At 54.8% G+C, this 20,767-nt stretch overlaps 2 protein-coding genes and 1 long non-coding RNA gene across 32 annotated transcripts in view, besides 6 other annotated features; 1 reads left to right on the forward strand and 2 right to left on the reverse strand.

Moving 5' to 3' along the window:
* Nucleotides 1–20,767, forward strand: part of MKNK1-AS1 (MKNK1 antisense RNA 1) — a 31,560-nt gene that overhangs the window by 3,120 nt on the left and 7,673 nt on the right. Inside the window, exons 3-5 of the long non-coding RNA NR_038403.1 lie at nt 1,879–1,953; nt 16,410–16,527; nt 17,855–17,996. This is a non-coding gene — a long non-coding RNA (MKNK1 antisense RNA 1). The remainder of the gene's footprint in view (nt 1–1,878; nt 1,954–16,409; nt 16,528–17,854; nt 17,997–20,767) is intronic.
* On the reverse strand, nt 3,826–9,832 carry KNCN (kinocilin). 2 transcript variants are annotated; one of them, NM_001322255.2, is made up of 4 exons: nt 9,250–9,832; nt 8,119–8,187; nt 7,378–7,452; nt 3,826–5,994 (listed from the first exon to the last, which is right to left on the reverse strand). In NM_001322255.2, exons 1-4 carry the CDS (start codon nt 9,398–9,400, stop codon nt 5,915–5,917), a joined length of 375 nt encoding a protein of 124 aa, NP_001309184.1. In that variant the 5' UTR covers nt 9,401–9,832; the 3' UTR covers nt 3,826–5,914. The 2 variants fall into 2 exon arrangements, with proteins under 2 accessions (NP_001309184.1, NP_001091080.1); NM_001097611.1 differs by lacking the exon at nt 8,119–8,187 and having other exon boundaries at nt 3,829–5,994; nt 9,250–9,400.
* Nucleotides 5,517–6,017: an enhancer, noted in NCBI's record as "H3K4me1 hESC enhancer chr1:47013004-47013504 (GRCh37/hg19 assembly coordinates)". NCBI's record gives its function as "activates a minimal SCP1, AML or CMV promoter by ChIP-STARR-seq in naive H9 embryonic stem cells {active_cell/tissue: H9 hESC(naive)}" and the evidence as "EXISTENCE:reporter gene assay evidence [ECO:0000049][PMID:30033119]".
* Nucleotides 6,018–6,518: an enhancer, noted in NCBI's record as "H3K4me1 hESC enhancer chr1:47013505-47014005 (GRCh37/hg19 assembly coordinates)". NCBI's record gives its function as "activates a minimal SCP1, AML or CMV promoter by ChIP-STARR-seq in primed H9 embryonic stem cells {active_cell/tissue: H9 hESC(primed)}" and the evidence as "EXISTENCE:reporter gene assay evidence [ECO:0000049][PMID:30033119]".
* Nucleotides 7,955–8,594: an enhancer, noted in NCBI's record as "H3K4me1 hESC enhancer chr1:47015442-47016081 (GRCh37/hg19 assembly coordinates)". NCBI's record gives its function as "activates a minimal SCP1, AML or CMV promoter by ChIP-STARR-seq in primed H9 embryonic stem cells {active_cell/tissue: H9 hESC(primed)}" and the evidence as "EXISTENCE:reporter gene assay evidence [ECO:0000049][PMID:30033119]".
* Nucleotides 14,052–14,553: an enhancer, noted in NCBI's record as "H3K4me1 hESC enhancer chr1:47021539-47022040 (GRCh37/hg19 assembly coordinates)". NCBI's record gives its function as "activates a minimal SCP1, AML or CMV promoter by ChIP-STARR-seq in primed H9 embryonic stem cells {active_cell/tissue: H9 hESC(primed)}" and the evidence as "EXISTENCE:reporter gene assay evidence [ECO:0000049][PMID:30033119]".
* Nucleotides 14,554–15,053: an enhancer, noted in NCBI's record as "H3K4me1 hESC enhancer chr1:47022041-47022540 (GRCh37/hg19 assembly coordinates)". NCBI's record gives its function as "activates a minimal SCP1, AML or CMV promoter by ChIP-STARR-seq in naive H9 embryonic stem cells {active_cell/tissue: H9 hESC(naive)}" and the evidence as "EXISTENCE:reporter gene assay evidence [ECO:0000049][PMID:30033119]".
* The window catches only part of MKNK1 (MAPK interacting serine/threonine kinase 1), a 46,862-nt gene continuing 41,686 nt past the window's right edge, over nt 15,592–20,767 (reverse strand). For 17 of the 29 annotated variants that reach the window (NR_024176.3, NM_001377373.1, NM_001377337.1 and 14 more), the window contains 3 exons: nt 19,663–19,827; nt 18,419–18,462; nt 15,592–16,985 (listed from right to left, as the gene is read on the reverse strand). Coding sequence is in view for 25 of the 29 variants with exons in the window: in NM_001377373.1 (NP_001364302.1) it covers nt 16,760–16,985; nt 18,419–18,462; nt 19,663–19,827 (435 nt within the window). In the remaining 4 variants the exon portion in view is untranslated. Of the gene's footprint in view, nt 16,986–18,418; nt 18,463–19,662; nt 19,859–20,767 lie in introns of those variants that run through there. The other 12 variants (NR_165250.1, NR_024174.3, NM_001377343.1 and 9 more) reach the window with 3 other exon arrangements.
* Nucleotides 16,848–17,017: a silencer, noted in NCBI's record as "fragment chr1:47024335-47024504 (GRCh37/hg19 assembly coordinates)". NCBI's record gives its function as "represses an EF-1alpha promoter that drives an FKBP-Casp9 reporter gene in an ReSE screen in K562 erythroleukemia cells {active_cell/tissue: K562}" and the evidence as "EXISTENCE:reporter gene assay evidence [ECO:0000049][PMID:32094911]".

The following is a 20,767-nucleotide window of genomic DNA, read 5'->3' on the forward strand; positions in this document are numbered from 1 at the left end:
TCCACTGGCCTCAGCCTCCCAAAGTGCTGGGATGACAAGCATGAGCCACCGCGCCCGGCCGCCTTTTATATATATTAACGCATTTAAGTGCCATGACAACCCTTAGTTAGCACTACTGCTGTTGCTAATTTATGGATTGGAAAACAGAGGACTGAGAGGTTAGAAGAATCGCCTAAGGTCACAGACATCATGGTAATACAGGGCAGAGCTGTGATTCAAACCTAGGCTGTGTGTCTCCTAAATCTGTGCCCTTCATAACTCCACACTGCCTCTGGCTGTAACTGTTCTCTGATCTCATGCAAACCCTGAAACTCTACAGTTTTCTCCACGATACTGTTGCTTCCAATTCTGTCTGCATCTATCCAAGAACCCAAACTGCCTTATTTCCATTACTCTCTTGTAACTTCACTTGTCCCTTTGTCCTTCTGCCAAAGCTGCCAGCAAAGCCTCAATTGCAACAGTCTGGCTTTCTGCCACCTCAAGTCTATGCCTAAACTGCCAAGCCTTGTAGGTGAAAAAACCACAGCGGGGCGGCACGGGCCCTTTGTACATCCACATCCCTGGCATCACTGTGGTCCTTAAGGATCCCGGGAAACCTCCCACTTCCTAGTCTGAGCTCACCAACCCGTCACTGGACTGTACCTCCCACTGGATGCACCTAAGAAGGCCTCTCCCATCTTGAAACAAAACCCTTCTTCAACCCCACATCTGCCTCCAGCTAACACTCTGTCCCTTTCTTGAAAGCACTGTCTGCAGTATATATCTCATCTCCTTGTCAAGAGCCAATCCACTCCAGTCTGGTTTCTGCCCCATCACACCACAGACTGCTTTCACCAAGGCCACCAGCTGACTCCTTTTTGCTGAATTCCATGAACACTGTTCAACCCTTAGCTAACTTGACCTCTCCAGAGCTTGGGACCTACTGAAGCCTCCCTCCTGGAAACATACTCTTCCCCTGGGATACAGTTTCCTCAATTTCATCTTCGCCCACAGAGCCCACAGACCCAGCCAGAAAATCTGGGCTTCATCCTCAGCTCCTGTCTCCTGAGGCGTCCCTCCACACATTTGCCATCTATCACAAAGCCCTGCAGACTCTCCCTGCCAAGCATCCCAGAATCCATCCCTTCCTCTCTAGTCTCACCACTGCACCATCTCTCCTCCTAGGATCGTCATGGCTGCTGCCCAGCCCTGCCCCCCTCCCCACCCCCACCTTGATTTTGCTCTTGCAGGGCTGACCTCACCAGGTGTGTGAGCTCCCTGTGCCTGAGCCCTGAGCCTACTTTCTCTTCCCCTGGCTGACCCCAGCTCTACCTTCAGAGTGCAGCTGGGATGCTGCTTCCTTCCTTCCTTCTTTCAGATTTCCAAAACTCTGCAAATCAGGGCTCTTAAACTCCCGATACCCTCATGGTGCCATGACTCCTGTGTCCAGGTCTGCAGGCCCCAGCCATCTTCCTTGAGGGCCAAGATTATGTCCACCTTGTTTGTTGCAGTATCCCCAGCGGGGGGGCGGGGGGAGGAGCGGTGCCTGCCACTCCCCAGGTGAATATTGGTTAAATAAATGGCCCAGTGAATACTGGTTAAATAAATGGTGGGGGAGGCATTGGTCAGAGAGGCGTTTTCTGCCCTCCTGGCTTCCCCTGTCTCGGATTTGAAGTTGCTCTGTGCTCTCTTCTCTCCCATCCCCTCCTCACTTTGGGCCTTGGGGAGGATGTGGAGGGGACAGGTGAGATTCTAGGGCAGAGTCCTACCCAGTTCAGAGCAGGGCGGGGTCAGAGTGGAGCAGAGGAACCCCCGAGCCAGCGGCCAGTGCCTGCGGAGTGTCTCCCCTTCTCCTGCTCCCTCTCTATCTTTCTCACCCCTGTCCTCTCACGGCTACAGGTTCTTGACCACTTGTCTGGGCACTGCTCCTGTCTCCTGGAGCTCAGGCTGGATGGAGTCTCTCCCCTAGTTCAGGTAAGCGTCCCCTCAGCCCCCTCCCGCCAGCGTCCCCCAGCTCCTTCACTTGCCTGAGCCCGTCCGTGGACACTCCCCTGCGGGTCCGACCAGGCTGACCCTTGAGCACCCTGGGTCAGCAGGAAGGAAAGACCCCGAGAGCGCAGGACCACCAAGAGAGGCCGGGCCACCTCCTCCGCCGTCCGCTGACTTCTAGGGGCTGGGCCGGCGCACAGCAAGGGGGTTGGAGGTGGGGTCGCCCTCTCCCACGCGGCTGGGTTTCCAGGCGGTGTCCTGGGCCGAGCCGCTTGGAGATCCTAGATCAGCATGTGGGTGGGAAAGGGCGCCCCGTCCTGGGCCCCCCCGCCCCTGCGCGCAGAGCAGAGACGCGCAGACCCGCTCCCACTCCGCTTGGCTCCCTTGGAGCAGCCCCGGCGGCGGCAGCGATGGGCTGGGAGGGGCCGGCACGCTGGCCTGCGCGGGTCCCCAGCCGCCTCCCGCCACCCGGAACCCCTCTCCTTCAAGCGTTGACCGCCGACCCACAGCTCCCCTTCAACCCGGGGCGAGCGGGGTTCTTACCATACACCTCCCCTCTCCGCTCGGTTCCATCCTTCTCCCGTTCTCCTCTAGGCTTCACGGTTTGCAAGCACCCTTGCAAATAACTCCTAGCCCACCCACACCGTCTCGTCCGCACTTTCCGAGAGCCAGGCACGGATATATTGCAACTCACTCTAGGGCAGGGGGCAGGGGTACAAGTCGAACTGGCTCTGCCTTCAACTTCAAATGGATTCTTCTTTCTGGAGCGGGGCTGGAGCTGTGGGGCGGGGGAGGGGGGATTTTTCCAGGGATGGACTTGTTTTCAGCACCCCTTTCCCAATCAACCACCAATCCTGCACCCTAGAAAGGGGTGTGGACATGAGCCTGTCTAGGGAGTGACTCTATCTCCTGGTGGTGTGTGTAGGAACTTTTTGGGATGAGGGCTGGGGAGGAAGTGCTGGGCAGCAGGCCCACCTCAAGGCTGGGCGTGTGGGAGGGAGGACTGAGGTGTGCTGACTTTCCAGACCCTGGAAGAGTTCAGCTGAAAGAGCATCTCTCCAACCTCTGCCTTCGTTCGTTTACTCATCCATTCATAAACCCTACCCGATGTGACTGTGTGCCAGGCAGCCTTCATGCTGACAGTGGCCCTGTGGGGGAGGGCTACCATATCCTCCCTTTGCATCTGGGGAAAGCCAGGCTCAAGGCCCCACAGCCTCTTGCCCCAGCCCCTGGGAACCAGGATGTGAGTTTTATCTCCAGACTCCAGCCCCAGCCTGTGCAGTCCTCCTCCAGGTTGGCCCAGCAGGCATGTGACTTCAAGGAATCTGCTTGGACCAAGTACTCCCCACCTTTAGATCACTTGTGTGTTCTCAGCACCCAGCCTAGGGCTGGGCACAGTCACAGTCACAGTCCTGGTGTGAGAATGGCTATTGGAAAGAACCAATTTCATTTCTTGAACAGACCACGGGAAGAGCTTGGTTCAAGGACCTGTCCCTGTCTACGCCCCTGTCCCATGCTGAAATATTGGAGGGTTCTACTCCCTAACACTACCTACCATACCACCCATGCCAGCTAGGCCTGACCTCACCTTTTCTCGAAGTGTGAGGGGGAGAAGCCACATGTCTCCACATTGACTACTCCTGTGACCACAGGGAGGGAGTGGGGAGGTTGAGGTTGGGGATGTACTTGAGCAAAATGTATTGGGATATTCACCTGGGCTGGAGGGAAGATGTTTCAGGAAGCCCACTGCAGGGAAAAAGAGGAACTAGAGTCCCAGGATCAAGAATTTCCACTCAGTTTAAGGGTCTTTTGAAGCCTTACCCAGTTCTTCCCCAGTGGACATAGCTCTTGCCGTTGTATGCTTTCATTCCTTGATTTATTCCACCTGGTCCCCAGCATCTCTCTCTGCCTGGCCCTGCCAGGCATCGGGGATTCCATAGCCCCACCCTGGGGAGAGCATGGCTGAGAGGGGTTGATGGGCAGGGGGGAGGGAACCACACTCTCCACAGCTCAGTCTCCACATCCCCCATTCCCACCCCCTCCACCCTGGGGCATCTCTGGGGCACTGAGGTGAGGATCGAAGATGGATAGGAGGAAGGGTCTCCTCATTGATTGAGGAGGGACCAGCAGCCTGAGATATTGTTGATGATAATGAAGGAAAGGAGAAGGGGCAGGGAATAGGCAGCAGCTGGGTGGAGAGGAGGGCAGTTCAAAGAGAGGAAGTTGCTTCTCTCAGCTGAAGGAAACGAAGTCTCTACACCTAGCCAGCATTTGTGGAAGGCAGCCCCTTCATGGAGGTCTGTCGCACTGTTGTCAGAGAACTGATCCCTGCCACTTGTGCAGAGGACAGCAGAAGATAGAGCCTTGGATAGGGAGAGATAGGAGACCTGGCTGCAGGCCTGGCCCCGTGATCTTTCACCATGGGACTCGATGAGTCCTTTTTCCAGTGGGGCCTCAGCTTTCCCATCTGAGATGGACTCTGTGCTTCAGAAAACTTTGGTTTTTCCAACATCCACTGGGGTGTCGTCTGGGTGCCTGGCCCTCTGCTCCCACTCTCAAGAGGGGAAATAGACAAAGGCCACTCAGATTGGTCTGTGAAGGAGGGAAACCCTGGGGCTGGGAAGCACAGTGAAGTCAGGGGAGGCTTCTAAGAGGAAGTGCCGTCTCCATTGATCCTGGAAGAAGGACGTGATTTCTAGCTTGTCTTCTGCTCACTAAACCAGGCCAGAGGCCGTATGGAGAGGGTATCTCTGTAGAGGTCAAACAACTCTGCCTGGAGGGTGCAGGTGTGGAGGGAGGAACAATGTTTTCTGTGAGGCCACACCTGGGCCTCCTTGCTCTACCCACGGTAGATGGGACTTTGAAGTGGCTTCCCAGGGAAAGCCTAGGGAATTGTTTTTACATTAAATTGAATCCATTAACATTTATTAAGCACCTACTGGTCTGGTGCTAGACACTAGAGCAGGGGCAACGTTCAGTAGACTTAAGATGGTTTAATAATTGTTTTGTGAAAAGGAAGACTTCAGCCCTGCCTGAAAGGTGGCAAGACAGAGGTTGGTGGAAGAGAATGAGGAAACCACGTGGGTAGGAGATTTTTTGAACGGGGACTTTAAAAGTGGGGTGTTTGATAGGCAGACAGAAGCAGGGAGGGTGCTGGAGAACACAGGGCAAAGCTTGGAGACAGGAATGTGTTTTGCTTGTTCAGGGAGCAGTGAGAAGATGGGAGGAAGAGAGAAGTCAGATCACAAAAAGCCTTGAGTGGTGGAGTTAAGACACCAAGGGTCTCAGGCCTGGGCTCAGCTGAGAAGTTGCCTCCTCTGACCCCCAGGCGAAGTTGTTTGTACCTGTCCCTTTGTGAGCCCCCCAAATTCCCCCATCTGATTCACTGCTGCTCAGAGCCTGTCCCTGAGGAACTGCCAGGAGTTTTGATATTTGGAAAAGAATCTTGTCTAGCCCCTCTATTGGGCTAGTGAGCTCTAGAGCCCCTGGGCTAGACCGTGGGGGTGGAGGGTCCCTGTCTGTGGTTCTTGTGGGCCTGTGGTTCACTTCTGTAGCCGGGTTAGAGCAAGGGACTGGGGCATCCTGGTCATAGTCAGGGCCTTGGACCCCAAATTCCAGAGAAACAAATCAGTAGATTGAACAGGCAACAAAGCTGAGCTGCAGTCCAGAAAGAAAGGCCAGGGCAGGAGCCTGAAACATGGGAACCCTGTGGGGGCGTCCGGCGACACCTTGCTCCAGGTCCCAGCCCACACCAGTGGAATCCATTTTGGAGAGGCTTGGCCGGGCGAGTGCAAAAGGCCCCATTCCAGACACTGTTCCCAGCCGCTCTGGGGTCTGCAGGGCCTGGCTTGTCTCCGGTCCGGGTCTCCTAACCCAGGAGGGCACTGACATAGGGGCAGCAGGCAGGATGGGAGGGCAGGGCATGGGCAGCCGCTCAGACTTTGCCTCAGCATTCCTCAGCCCCCCGGGTCCCCGGCTTCAGCTTCTCCAGGGTCCTGCTCACGGTGGACAGGCTGCTGCGGGCTCCTGGGGGAGAGAACAGGGACGAGGACTGCCTCCGTAGACAGGTCCCCATGGAGTTGTCAGGGTCAGAGGAACTCAGAGGGACCCAAGGCCGGGGTGCCTGGTTGACCCCAGGGCAGAGCTGGGATAGAATGGGGAGAGGGGAGCATCCCAGGGGACAGTTTCAGCCCAGTTTAAAGAGGTACCTCCAGTCAGGATGGCTTTCAAGAGGGCAGCAGCATAGGCCGGGGGTAGAGGCGGGACCCCGGAGCCCACTGCCTGGTTTGAGCTTTGACTGCCGCACTTCCTGGCTGTGTGGTCTTGGGCATGTCACTAAATCTCCCTGTGCCTCGGTTGCCCCTTATGTAAAATGAAACTAATGATAGTGCTGCCCTCATGTGGTTGTTGTGAGACTTAAAAGAGCGAATAATAGATGAACAGGGCTGGGAACAGTGTCTGGAATGGGGCCTTTCACTGAGTATTAGGCATCCAACCCCTGGTGGCAGAGACTGGGCTGGGACCATCTTTGAGAAACTCCTGCCCTGGAACTTTCCAGGTGTGGGGTGGAAGAACAAGGAGATGCCCAGTTTGGGGTATGAACTTTAAACTGGGGTGGTTAAAGCTAGTACCCAAAGCTGGTACCCATGGCCTCTTTAAACTGGGCTGAAACTGTCCCCTGGCATGTCCCCCCCTCCCCATTCTATCCCAGCTCTGCCCTGGGCACTGGGAACCCCAGCTTGGGTCCCTTTGAGTTCCTCTGACCCTGGGAGAGATGGGAGAGGGGAGTGGGAAAATAAACTGAGGTATAGGACCTGGGGGAGGGGAAAGGGAGGGAGGGGAAGGGGCAGGGAGGTGCCCTCATTCCAGTGTCCACGCTGGGCAAGACAGAAGCCCTCAGAGTAAGCAAGAGGAGATCAGTTCAGCTTGGAGCAGCAAGGGTCTGACTGTGCACCTGGGGAAAGTGCCAGCAGTACCGTCTCCCCGCACTGGGGAGGCCCCTTCGGCATGCCGCTCAAGGCTCCCGGGCCCCATGGAGCTGCTCAGTCAGGGAGGGGAGATGAAAGATGGATTCAGGCTGGGCACGGTGGCTCACGCCTATAATCCCAGCACTTTGGGAGGCCGAGGCGGGTGGATCACCTGAGGTTGGGAGTTCGAGACCAGCCTGACCAACATGGAGAAACCCCGTCTCTACTAAAAATACAAAAATTAGCCAGGCGTGGTGGCACATGTCTGTAATCCCAGCTGCTCGGGAGGCTGAGGCAGGAGAATTGCTTGAAACCGGGAGGTGGAGGTTGCAGTGAGCCGAGATCATGCCATTGCACTCCAGCCTGGGCAACACGAGCAAAACTCTGTCTCAAAAAAAAAAAAGAAAAAAGAAGGATGGACTCGGGAATTTCTGGAACTTACCTTCCTTGTTGCCATTGGTGCTGGATCTTCCTTCCCCGTGGTCTGCCCCTGGATGGGGATGGATTCTTAGGCTCCCTGCAGGATGAGACCACCCCAAGCCCCCTGATTACTGAGCCATTCCCCAAATCAAGCCTAGGTTGGGAAGGGAAGTCCTTCTTGCTATCTAGTCTCCATCCCTGATGCTGTCTTTGCTCCACTGCATTCCTTTAGGTCTCACATGATCTGGGCTGATTTGGGCAGGAGAAAAAGAACTGGGCCCTTGAAGGAGAAAATGGCAGATCTTTTAGGGAGGTGAGGTCCCGGGGAGAACTGGGGCCATGAGAAGCCCCATAGGATTGGTGGAGATGGCAGCCTGTATGTGGGGAGCTGAGATGAGGTGGGAGCTGTGCAGAGGCTGTGGGGTCTTAGGGGAAATAGAGGGTCTTTCATGGGGGCTCAGGGATGGAGAGGGAGTTATTTAGAGATGTTGGAGGCTTTGGGGAGTCATAAAATCTCTCAAGGGAGATGAACTTCCCAGCTCTGAGCTGGTTCAGGCACCTTTGCTGCAGGCTGGATTCTGCCGTTCTGTAGTCATGGCAACGCCTGCACAACACACACACACACAGCAGCTCTAACACAGACAGCTAGCGCGGTCTCACACATGGGCTCATCCCAGCCACACAGTGGGTCACAGACGAGCACACAAAGGGTCTGGAACAGTCCTTGGCAGAGGGGTCTGCTGGGGTCAGGGAGAGGCCTCACCTATGGTAGGCAGGATGTGGTCCAGGTTGAACCGAGCCTTCAGGAAGGGGTAGGCCAAGATGAGGAGCCCTGAGAAGAGACACAGGGGGTTCTGTGATGGGGAGGAGCCTGGTGAGTGTTGAGGCTGTGGGTGGGCTGGGAGCCTGAGGGGTGGTTTGTGAGATATGGGTGTGCATGGGAGGAGCACAGTGTGCAGACTTGGGACTGTGAGTGTGTAAATGTGAGCCTGTGGGTGTGTGCATCTGGGTTGGTGGGGGCAGTGCCTGTTTGGGGAAGAGGCTACAGACTGTGAAGGCCCCACCTGCCTGGCTCCACCGTTCCTAAGTGAAGAGCAGGTTGCTGGAATGAGCCTGGCTGACACCACCACTGCGTCTCTGCTGTCCCCACGCTTCCCCAGGGCCCCCAGGGCCGGACTGGGTGCTTGTCCTCAGCATGTTCCTCCCCACCCAGACCTGGGGAGCAGGAGCAGTGGAGCCAGTCCTGCCTTGCCCGCCCCCGCTCCATCCCCCGATGAGCATCTGTGCCAGAACCCGCAGGTGTAGATACCTAAAGCCCCCTAGCCTGATGCTTCTGGTCCTGCCTTTGGCCTGGGCGGGGGCGGGGGGTGGGGTGAGGTGAGGTGAGGTGAGGGATGGCATTCAGCGTCACTGCGGGGCAATCAGTGGGCGTGGCCCCACACAGATAGATGGACACAGCTGCTGTGGAGGCAAACAGGGAAAGAAGACGAAACCCTTTTTCTGAGCTGGAGCCTGTCTTGGCTCAGAGAGTCCTCAGGAGCTCTGTCCTTTTACCTGCCGCCATCAACCCCCTGTTCCGCCCAGATAGGCTGATGAATCCCACCACAAATCCAGGAGCCTAGAGCTTGGGGCTGGAGAGCCAGTGGGAGTAGCCAGAAAAGAGTGTGACGGCCAGCTCTCCTTCTTTTCTCCTCCCTGTGGCTGGAAGGAGCCCCAGCGCGTCGCTCCTCTCCCGCCTGTGCCCCTGATGGCGGCCTTGCTCACACCTCTAGCTTCCGTTCTCCCCAGCTGATTCCTGCTGACCCAGCCCTTCCCTGTTCCTTGTTCACCTGACGATGCCCCTGCCCCCACCTCCAGAATCTCCCTTCCCTATCCCAGCCCAGCCCCTGCTCACCCAGAACAGCAGCGCCAATAAAGACACCGCCCATGGCAGCTGCAGCCTTGGATACGGAGATGCCGATAATGATGCTGCCAGCCACCAGCCCGAGAGCCACGCAGGCCAGCTGCAGGCCGCGGAAGTCTCTGCTGCTGATGGGGATGTCCATGCAGGCCCACCCGGGGCACTGCCTCCAGCCGGTGCAGTCTGGCCCCAGAAAAGTCCTGGAAGTTTCTGGGCTCTTGGATGTCTCCTTGTTGGCGCTCCAACTTCAGGGTAGGAGTTTCTGGGCAGTAAGATGATAGGTGGGGAACCCTGGGATTTATCTGCAGTCCTATTCCACTGCTCCACTACGGGCCCCCCAGTCCCACCTTGACCAGGGATCTGTACGAGGTCACCCAGCTTACTCTTCCTCTCTCAAAGCCCTCTGAAGCTGAAGCCCACCCTTGGGACTCCTGTCTGGCTACATTTCTGCTTTGGCTGCCAGAGTTCTAGGGAGCTGGGCCTGTTCCATAGGATCCTTCCCTGCCAGCCTCCACCCAGGAGAGTTCAAGCTCCCCTGCCCAGGACATCCTGCCCCAGCTTCCTAGAGCCACTTACTTGCCACTGAACCTCAGCCTATGAAAATTTAAAGCAATGAGAGGCAGGGTGAGGGGGGAGTTGGTCCAGCGGCCACAGGCTCCTCAGAGATGTAGGCAGCAGGGAGGTGCTGAGTTATTCATGAGGTTGCAATGTGAGTGGCTGTCTGGGTCCCAGGGCCCAGCGGGCAGTCAGCCCAGGTTCCACTGCTGGTTCCTGAGGAGGAAGAACGAGCTGGTGGCTTTGCATGTCGTTCAGAAGCCAGGGATGTGAGGAGACTCCTGATCACATGCTCAGGGCCCGCTGTAATGTGCTCTGCCCTTTGGCCTGGAGGTGCACCTGGGGTCTCTGCTTGGAGTCTGAGATAGACACACAGCAGGAGGCTCAAGAGACAGGAACTGCACCTGGTATGGAAAGCGGACAGGGAGAGGCATCCCTCCAAGTCTGCTCCCTACCCCTGCCCATCCCATCCCCATCCTGTCCACCTCTGGGCTCCCAGGTAGGGCTGAGGGCGTCCTAGTTTGAGGCTTGATCTCAGGGGACTCCCTTGTCCTCAGGTGGGCTTGGTACCCACCCCCCTTTTAGTGGCCAGTGGAATGGAGAGTGAACCCTTCTAGCCACCTTGGGGATCCCGACTGGGAGTGAAAGGGAAGAGCAGTGGTGGTGCTGGTGTGGGCAGGAGGAAAACACCTAAGGGGTAGGGTAGAGAAGAGGACTTGGTAGGGGCTAGGTGCCGGGAGTGGGAGGCTGGGTCATGGTTGGTGCCTTCCCATCCGCTGAACTGAGCACCTGCACCCAGCCTGTCTGAGTTACTTGCAGGATGCCCCACCCCAAGGCTGGGCAGTGGTCACCAATGCAGCCTAGCCCTGAGCCCTGCCCCGGCCCCCAGTTCCAGCCTTTATCATTCATTGCGTTATTTGGCCCTTTATGGATTGGGGACCCCCCAGTCTCAGAATATGGCCCCGGCCTGGCCCTGCACCTGGGCACAATTCCTAGGGTCCCATAATCCTGCTCGGAGTCCCGTCGCCAGCCTCCCTGGCCTCTCTTTGGATGCCCCCTCTCTGCACTGCATCTGCAGTCTCATATTGCCAGGCTCAACTTCTTGTTCCTCCACCTGCCTCCATGGCTGCCCTGTTCTTGTTCTATCTCCTCTGTAGGCTGAGAGCCCCTTGAGGGCAGGTTCCAGGAGTGAGCTCCCCAGAATGCTGTGGCTGGGAGGGACCTGAGCTAGGCTTCTGAACATGAGGACAGAGTTCAGGGAGAGGGCTTGGACTGCACAACCACCTCCAGTCATCAAAGAGGAGGGCTGTGGACACAAGGGAACCTCTGTCTCTAACAAGAGGCATTCCTTGTATGTGGAGAAGGGGGCCTGAGAAGGCCCAGGGTCACCTGAGTTGGAGCTTCGGCTCATGATGAGTCTGTAGAGAGGGGTGACTGCAGCACACAGATGGGCCCTGGACTGTGTTCCTGTTCCCCACAGAGGGAACACCCCTGGAGCTGGGCATTCCCCAGCCACGGTGCTGCTGCCAGCATCTGCTGTGCCTCCTGCCTGGATGAGATCTGATTATTCCTCTAATTAGGCATCAAATCATAGCCCATGTCTCTGTCACACATAATTGATCCCCCACTGACTTAGTTTTAGAAGGAGCCACCAAAATAATTGTCCATGAAACGTGTTCCTTGCTCCTCTCAAAGTCTAAGGCTGAGGGCGACTCTCTCACACCCTCACCAAGATAGAAGCTCTTGGGGCCGCGTTTTCCACCTCGCACTATGGGGCTCGGGCCAGCCATTCCACCTCCCTGAGCCCACTGCCTTGTCTGGTGATGGGGATGGGGGTGGCAGAGGCACCTGTGCACTGCTTCAGATCTCAGAAAACACTGTGATCTCAAAGGAGAGGCACGTTAAGCCTTTTTCAGTTCCAAGATCACAGAACCAGGGCCGTCCCAGCTCTTCATATAGGTGGGGAATCCAAGACATGGGGAGACAGAGGAATTGCCCCAGAGTCCTCATGGATTCTGCCCCTCTGGGAAGTACTCTGGCCTATCTGCCCCTGAATTTCAACACTGTCTTAGTTGAGGTGGGAGGAACTGGCAGACCCACCTTCAGAGGGAGACATTGAGTTAAAAAATTAGTCAAGGGACCAGGCACTGTGGGATTACAATCCCAGCACTTTGGGAGGCTGAGGCGGGAGAATTGCTTGAGGCCAGGAGTTCAAGACCAGCCTGGGAAACATGGTGAAACCCTGTCTCTACAAAAACAAAAATTATCCAGGCACAGTGGTGTGTGCTTGTAGTCCCAGCTACTTGGGAGGCCGAGGTGGGAGGATCGCTTGAGGAGGAGGTTGCAGTGAGCTGAGATCACACCACTGCACTCCAGCCTGGGCGATGGGTGTGAAATCCTGGCTCAAACAAACAAACAAAACAAAACAATGAAAATCAGTCAAGGCCTGCCTCTTTCCCTCAGGACCAGGAGTGCATCATTAAAGGTTCCCAAAACAGTTGTGATGTAGAGAGGGAGGCCTGCCAATTCTTTCCTCAGTTTGGGCTATATCATCTCTGAAAAAGAAAATGTGTGTCCTTGAGTGACGTGCTCAGAGCAATAGGTAAGTGAGTTCAGGAACCTCTCTGTGAGCCATGCTGAGAGGGAGGCCCAAGGCACCAGGGCTCCATCGCCCCACCAACCCTCCACCCCTCCCAAGGATTGGAGCCTCCCCGCTGAACCTGGGTGCTCTTGGAGGCCACAGTTCTCAGGCATGGCAAGGCCACGGGCACATTGCTGAGTTCCATCACCCAGTCTCTTCTCTCTGTCTCCTGCTGAGGCAAGGACTGTGGAGCGTCTGCCCATGCTCCTTCCTTCTCAGTGCACCAAGTCCAAGTGTGGCGTGGGGGTGGGGAGGAACAGTGGGCGAAAAGGCCCCAGTTTGGTTTGGTTCTGTTTATTTTCCTTGAGGGGTGAGAACCCTGGAAAAGAGCGTGATTAATTCACCAATCCCCCGGGGGACAGGTAGCTTTCTTGGACCATTTGGAAGCTGAAGTCAGGGAAGTGGCTTCCAAGGCAACTGCTACCATGGCAACAAGAGTGCCAGCCTTTGGGGGACCTTGCTCCTCAGCCCCCTCCAGACCTGAAGCGGCTGGAGTGCTGGCATGGGACCAAGGCACCACTATTCATGGGGCTGGGTGTGGGAGGGCAGTCGGCCAGGAGGGAGGAGGCGCCCCCAGAGCCCAGGCAGGTAGACACACAGAGGGACAAAAACTGGACGGTCCCTGTGCCCAGAGGCCCTCAGACTGGAGTCCTCAGGATCCAGCTGAATCAGGGCTGGGGCTGGGGCTGGGGCCAAGGCCTGATCACTAGGTTTGAGAAGAGAGACCTGAGGTTTGAGACACTCCAACTGGCTGGGACCAGTGCTCTCCTTCTAGGCCCCGCCCACGCATGAGCTCTGGAGCTGGGGAGCTGCCTTCCATTATCGCAGATCCTATGCCTGGAAGGGGCTCTGTGGTCTCAGAGCCTCCTCAGTGCATCTGCTGGATCTGCCTCTGTCCAGCAGAGCCAGGACTTCCAAGGTCACCAGTGAATAGTGGCAGAGGCAGTACTGGAACCCAGGGCTCAGGTCCGAACTTCAGGCTCTTCCTGTTGTGCCACAGCTGCCCCTCTGGGCCAGGGACTGCATCCCGGAGGGGTGGAGCAGCCTGTCTGCCGGAGGATCCTACAGAGGGACAGAGTCCTGGCTCATCTTAAGAGGCCCAGACCTACCTCCACAGCACACAGTGCTTCTGTAGAGTGCTCCCGGAGCCAAGGACCAGGGAGGGCTCGTCTCTAGCACTGGGACCATGAGTTGTGTAATTCTGCCCTGGTAGATAACAGTAAATACAGGAGTCCCCCATTATCCCTCGGGGACACGTTCTAAGGCCCTTGGTGGATGTCTCAAACCGTGGACAGTACCAAACTCTATATATACTATCATTTTTCCTATACATACGTATCTGTGATAAAGTTTAATTTATAAATTAGGTATAGTAAGAGATTAACAAAATAGAACAATTGTAACAATATATTGTAATAAAATTATATGGCTGTGGTCTCTCAAAATATCCTATTGTGTTGTACTCACCTATTTTGACCACATAATTCACTTAATTATGGAATTAAGCGAAACTGTGGATCAATGGGGACTACTTGATTAGCTAAAACTATAATAGCTAACATTTATGGAGCACTTACTATGTGGGCCTGGAACTGCTCTCAACACTTTGCATTCATTAATTTGTAACTTTCACAACAGTACCATGAAGTAAGCACTATCATCCCCATTTAGAGTTGAAGAAACTGACTCTCAGAGATTAACTGGCCCAAGCCCCAGAGCTAGTAAGTGGCAGAGCTGGGATTTGAATGCAGGCAGCACAGCGCGGCGTCCCAAGCCTTCCTGGAGGGAATTCCAGTTCCACCATTCCTAGCTGTATAGCCCTGGGCAAGCTATTTTTCCTTTCTCTGCTTGGTTTTCATGTCAAGTGGGATAAAATAATAGTACCTACCTCAGAGGACTGCTGAGAATTAAATGCTAATGCCCGTAAACTTCTTAGAAAGTACCTGTTACTTAGTAAGTGCATGACAATGCTGGCAAAACCAAGGTCAGCCAAAACCAAGGTCATGGCGTTTAAGCAGAGCCATGCAGGATGAGAGGGGCCTTGCCAGGTGGGCCAGGCTGGGGAGGTGGGCTGAGAAAGGGCACAGCTTGAGCCAAGGCACAGATGGGGAGTTGCAGCTGGGCAGGGTGTGGGCCAGGGGTGGAGAGTGCCTGACCCAGGAAGCCCCCTTGAAGACACGTTCCTGTTGGGCCTCCCACTAGGCCGGGCTGGGGTTCAGGGTTAGAACTCACATCCTGGTTCTGGGTCTCCAGGGGCTGGGAGTCTGTGGGCCAAAAGGATCAGATTTTGCAGGTCTGTTTTCCTCACCAAGCCCACTCCAGGTAGATGAAAAAGGGATGTGAGGGTGTCAGGGTTACTGTCAAGGGAAGACTGTCAACAAACAGTATGTATCATCAACGGGGAGGCATTCATGGCGTAGGACAGCTGGGGATGTGGCCCGTCACCTGCCCCAAGTGAAGAGCCCCTAATCCCATCTCCCCTCTCTGCCATCCCGAGGGAGAGCAGCTGTCATCAGCACCCAGTCCACTGCCCACTCAGACCTCCCTTGCCACCTCCTTGGGAACTTATAAAGGTCCTTTCCACCCCAGTCCTCTCCTGTCTGGCTCTGATGATCGCCTGGGACAATGGGCACTTTAGTGCCCACTTTAGTCCTTTGCGTGATGTACATGAGGGCTGTGGATAGGAGGTGCTATTTTTCTTTGTTGCATAGTCCCGGGCACATGACACACCCTTGATAAAGGCTTAGTAATGCTTTAGACAGAGGAGAAATTTGTTTCCTGCTTGTGGGCTGCTGGGCACAGAGGACATCTATTAAAGTACATTCTGGTCTCCTGTGTCATGGTTGCTGACACCACCTCTACCACTTGATGGGGAGATCCTAGAAAGCAGAGGCTGTTTCTTACTCATTTCTGGGTCCTGGCTCAGAAGAAGCAATTGATAAAAGTTTGATGAATTTCATTTCCTCACCTAGGAAAAAAATAGCAATTTCTCCTTCACTTTGTTTTTTGGGTCAAATACGGTTTTTATTCAGGGGTCCCAATAAGAGATACCTTCTCCCCACCTGGCTGGACTTAGACCCAGTTTAGAAGGCCAGTCTCCTCCTCAGGTCTGCAGGTAAAAAAAAAAAAGGACCACCAAATAGGCCACACATAGAATTTCAGTTTTATTAAAATAAGCACAATGTATAAAAGCACCGTGGTGTTGTATAAACGTCTGCCTGACAAATGCAAATCTATTTTCTTTATGTAACTCAATAGTTCCACTTATCTGAATGGCTGTACCTTCATGCACACGGGCAGCAGGCACTGCATTGCTCAAACAGGGAAGTGAGGCTTCACCCTAGTGTGGCTTCACCTTAGGCACAGAGCACTATCTAACTGCCCAGATCTGTGCCACCCACACAAGACCTGGGGACACAGCAGCAGACACCGATGCTGTCTCTAAGTTCATCACAGGAACAGCTTAAAATCAGAATAATAGGGAACTGCTGATTAAAACCCAAGTGCATGGACATTCTAGAAAGAAGAGCAAGCCGTTCCACTCTCTGGGAAGTTCATGGGCTTGCAGTGGGAGTTTAAGGTATCATCTTTGCTGGAACAGCATGGTTAAAAACACCAAACTTTTTTTTTAAAAAAACGATACTACTGACTTTAGCAGCAATCACAAACAAAGGGGATGATAAACGAGGGATACATTTCAGTCACAGCAAAGAAAGATTATGTGCTTTTCCGTGCTGCAGACCGGAAGACTGATTTGATTTCCTGAATGAGGAAGGCTCCTTGCCCTTCCCTGAATTGAGGGGATGGCTTTGCTCAGCCAAGGGAGAAGACGGGCAAAGAGGACATCCGGAGGACAGAGGAAGGTGGAAGGACCGCCAGAGGAGGGTGACAGAGAAGAGAGGGAAGAGGCACGTGTCGGCAGCCTCTGTCAACTGATGCTTCTTGCTTCTCCCTGCAGGCTGCAGCCCCAGCCGCCACAGCTACAGCGGTGAGAGCAGGCTGGATCCCAGATCTGCAGGCGGGTGAGCAGGTGGAGCCCAGTGAAGAGATGTTCCTGCTGCAGGCAATTATGCAAAGTGAGAAGTGATTGCTTTCCTTTTCAAAGACAACCCCTTTGGAAAAAGCTTTTTCCTCCAGGACCCTAGGGAAATGGGGGTTGATGGGAACCTCAGGGCCTTCGTAGATGAAAAAGCCTGAATGGAGCCACAGAGCAGAGGCTGCTGCCTGCTCAGCAGACTTTAGCCACACAGGTTTCCAGGGGACAATGCCTGGCCAGGCCTAGGGCCTATAAGGTGTGACTGGAGCATTTCAGAGTGCTGTGGGCGGGCTCCTGTCTTCACCACGGCCTGCCTGGGCCAGGGCCCGTCTCCGGGCCAGGCGTGACTTGCAGGGAGGGGAAAGCTTCATGGAGCAGAGGCCATCAGCTAGTGCCTCTGGCTCCTCTGCTAGTTCGTTCTCTTCGTGCTGAGATAGCTGGCGGTTAAGGGCGATGGCCTCAGCTGCGAAGAGCGTCAGGTCCATTGTGCTGCTGTTCCTGCAGGGCCAGGGGAAAGCACAGAAAAGAGGGTCAGGACTCTAGGGTCAGCCAGGCCAGCTCCGGGACACTCCCACTTGCTGCTGTGGCTCTACGCTCCCACCAGATTTCCCAGAGCTGGGACGGGCTGCTCTCTCCAAAGTAGTTCTTGCCTAGGTTTGGAATCTTTCTTGACTGAGGGATTTTAATTTGAGCCCCAAGTACCATCCCTGGACTTGATGGTAGGGGCAAGCTCCCCCTTCTCCTCAGAGCACCCTCCTCTGAGCTCCCACAACTCTACATACAGGTCTACCAGAGGCAGAGACTGGGCACATGAAACACACCTGTCCCTCCCTCTCCCAGCCTGCGTGGGGAAAAAGCTCCCAGAGCAAGGCCTGCGCCGCTTATGCCACGTCCCCAGCACCTAGCTCAGGGCTAGCGTGGACAGGCACTTTGGGTTTGCAGAATAAATCTTCTAAGGCGGATCTGAGGTTTGGCATCTAAAGGCATCTGGAGGCTGCTCTAGAGAGTCAGGTAGGAACCCAAATTGGGCAATAGCAACTGGGTCACACGAATTGCGATTATGGAGGTGTATGACTTCCTTGTGTAGCTCCTAAAAGCTGGCCATGAGGCTGGTGCCAAAAAGGTTTCCCACACTGCTTAGCCCTGGCTCTTTGGGAACAGGGCAGTCCAGCTGTAAAAGGGCTCCAGAGTCAAACAGCCCAGGGCTGCTGTGTGGCCTTAAGCAAGTTAACTTGATTGCCACTCCTCACCTCTCTCATCTAGAACACCTCTCTTAAATTCATCGTGAAGATTATGGATATAATTATATCCAGCCCTTAGCACCACGTCTGACATGTGGTAAGGACTTACTATTTTTTTTGAGACAGATGCTTGCTCTGTTGCCCAGGATGGAGTGCAGTGGCGTGATCGCAGCTCACTGCAACCTCCGTCTGCTGGATTCAAGCGATTCTCCTGCCTCAGCCTCCCAAGTAGCTGGCATTACAGCACCTGCCACCATGCCTGGCCATGGTAAGGACTTAATCCTGGTGGCCACTATTATCACTGTCCGTCTAGTACCGTACGTGCCCCTCACTTCTGCTCCTTTCATTAAATACAAGGGCAGAGGGAAGCCTTGTGTGAATAACCCATGGGTAAGGTCTGTCTTTGGGCTGTAAGTTACAGTTCAATGGGCAAAACAGGTTTTTTTTCCTGCCAACAGTGCTAGGAGGGGCCTTAAGGTGCTGGAGGGCAGAGGATCCAATCTAGGTGAAGGAAGGGAAGGGTGGGAGATAGATCCAGAGTAGAGGAAAAGAGAGTGAGGAGGGGAAATGGGCAGGGAGCCCCTTTGGAGAAAGCTACCTGAGCCTAGAGATGGGCTCCCCCGGCCCCCACCCCCATGGTGGCTGAGAGCTTGAGGAAGAGCATGGCGTGGGGGTGGTCAGAGCATTTACCTCTGGAGGACTTGCGGCGTGGGGAGTCCCTTTTCTGGAGCTTGCTAGAATGGGAAGGACAGATGTGTAGGTAAAGCACTGCTCCCTCCTTTCAAGAACTGCCCCACCCAAGCCAGCAGTGGGTAGGTTACTATAGGCTGCTGGCGCAGCACAGGGAAATGGCTATGCTTGCTTGCAGGGTCAGGCCTTCCAAGCAGAGAGCAAGAAAGGTACAATCTGCAGCCGCAGCCCCCAACATAGCTGCTTCTGCATGGAGAGCCCCTCTTTCCCTTTGCCTGGCAAAGTCCTAATCATCCCCCAGGACCCAGCTCAAGGGTCACTTCCCCTGTGACGCACATTTCCCCTTCCCTGCCACCTTCCTGCCTCAGTCTCAGGCCCGGGATGGGGAGTGGGGTCTTGCTCCCTTTGTGCCCCTAGCACTTTTCAGAAGCCTTTATCATGCTGTAACTTATCCCCTTGTCTACTTCTCTCCACTAGAGCACAGAGACAGGGACTGGGTCTCACTTGTCCCTCTGGCATGTGGCAGGTGCTCACTTATGGGTCTGGGAATGAGCCAGTTAGACACTCAAACTGGGTCCCCATCTGCAACATAGGATGGCAATGCTTGCCTCCTTCCACTGGTAGGGTCACTGAGGCTGGCCAGAGCCTGGCACACCAAGGAGACCAGAAAGTCATGGGAGCATCTGGCAGACCCCTTGGAGGGCAGAGGTCAGGTATTGTGAGTAGCCAAGGAGGATTTTTAAAAATGTTTTCTAGTGAAGACATGAATTCTAAGCTTAGGGAAAAAATACGATCATTTGCCTTTCAGGCCAGCTGTACCCAGACTCCCAGACCATGAGGAGAACCTATGTGCCCCAACTCGGCCACACAACAATCAGCGCAGCACGGCCTTGCTCACTTCTGGGTGTCCTCAGCTAATGATGCTTCTATATAAGAGGAGGATGCTACAGACTTCAAATGACAATAGGATGCTTGCGGGGCTGGGTGCATGTACCAAATCCCCAGAGGACTCTGTTGGGGCTTAGTCTGTGGCCAAGTTTACAGCCAACTCTATGGCCTATAAGGGGCTCAGTCTGGGGTAACAGGAGGAGTCGATTCACTCTACACACTCAGGGATAGACGCTGTCCTCTTCAGCTGCACCAGCCACAAGGCTGGTGCTCAGCACTTGCTGGCATGACAGCTTCCTTGTGGCCATGCCACAGGCCTGAAGTGGTGGAAAACACCCCTCCCTGGAGTCACTCACCCCCTGCACCCATGGGTGCTGCAGAACTTGGGCGGCGCTAAGTCTCTGCTTTGCATCTCGCACCAGGAGCTTGGAGATGAGGTCTTTGGCTTCACTGGAGATGTGTGCCCAGTCCTTGTCAGGAAACTCATACTTGCCTTCCTGGATGCTTTCAAACAGCTTGTTCTAGGTACAAAAGATTCCTCCTGAGGCCACACTGCCAGGGATGGGCAGGATGTGCCTGTCATTGTTTTGATCAACCGGCTTCAATTGATCTCAGCTGTAGCTGCAGCTCATGGCTTGGGGATGCCACAGACTGGGGCCTCTTCCCAGACTCACCCCGCACTGTCCCCTAGATGATCAAACTATATAGAATGCCCTTGGCAGGCCAGGATGGCTATGCCCTTGGTGGGCTGGATGGGTGATGAGTGGAGATCACCCATAGAACAAAGCCCAAATTCCTTGGCTCTTCCTAGAGGACTCTCTGTGAACCTCTCAGGCCTCATCTCCCACTACCACCGACCTACTACTCCACTCTTCCTTCCTAGACACTCCAGCTATTTCATGTGCCCACATCTATGCCCGTGCTGTTCCTTCTACTTGTGATTCTTGTCCCTCTTCCGCAGGGCAGGATGCACCCTTTAAGAGTCAGTTCAGGGCTGGGCGCGGTGGCTCACGCCTGTAATCCCAGCACTTTGGGAGGCCGAGGCGGGAGGATCACAAGGTCAGGAGATTGAGACCATCCTGGCTAACACGATGAAACCCCGTCTCTACTGAAAATATAAAAAATTAGCCAGACGTGGTGGCCGGCGCCTGTAGTCCCAGCTACTTGGGAGGCCTAAGGCAGGAGAATCGCTTGAACCCAGGAGGCAGAGGTTGCAGTGAGTCGAGATCGTGCCATTGCACTCCAGCCTGGGCGACAGAGAGAGACTCCATCTCAAAAAAAAAAAAAAAAAAAAAAAAAGAGTCAGTTCAGGCATGATCTTCTAACAATCCTGCCCTGAACTCCCAGCTGGGCGGAGTGTCTGATTATCTCTATTTTACCTTGTGGCCACCGTGACAGGAGCGGGAGAGGGCACTATGAGCCCCCATCCCGATCAGGAACGCTCTCCCAGCCCAGTCCTGC

The sequence above is a fragment of the Homo sapiens genome, chromosome 1, assembly GCF_000001405.40.
Source record: "Homo sapiens chromosome 1, GRCh38.p14 Primary Assembly".
Classification (NCBI taxonomy): Eukaryota; Metazoa; Chordata; class Mammalia; order Primates; family Hominidae; genus Homo; species Homo sapiens.

Excerpts from the sequence above, each read along its gene's own strand:
- KNCN (NM_001322255.2), bottom strand. The coding sequence starts at position 9,400 with ATGGACATCCCCATCAGCAGCAGAGACTTCCGCGGCCTGCAGCTGGCC. Across the intron at positions 7,453-8,118 it reads CCACATCCTGCCTACCATAG|GGAGCCTAAGAATCCATCCC; the intron begins GTGAGGCCTCTC and ends CTCATCCTGCAG. Across the intron at positions 5,995-7,377 it reads CACCAATGGCAACAAGGAAG|GAGCCCGCAGCAGCCTGTCC; the intron begins GTAAGTTCCAGA and ends TCTCTCCCCCAG.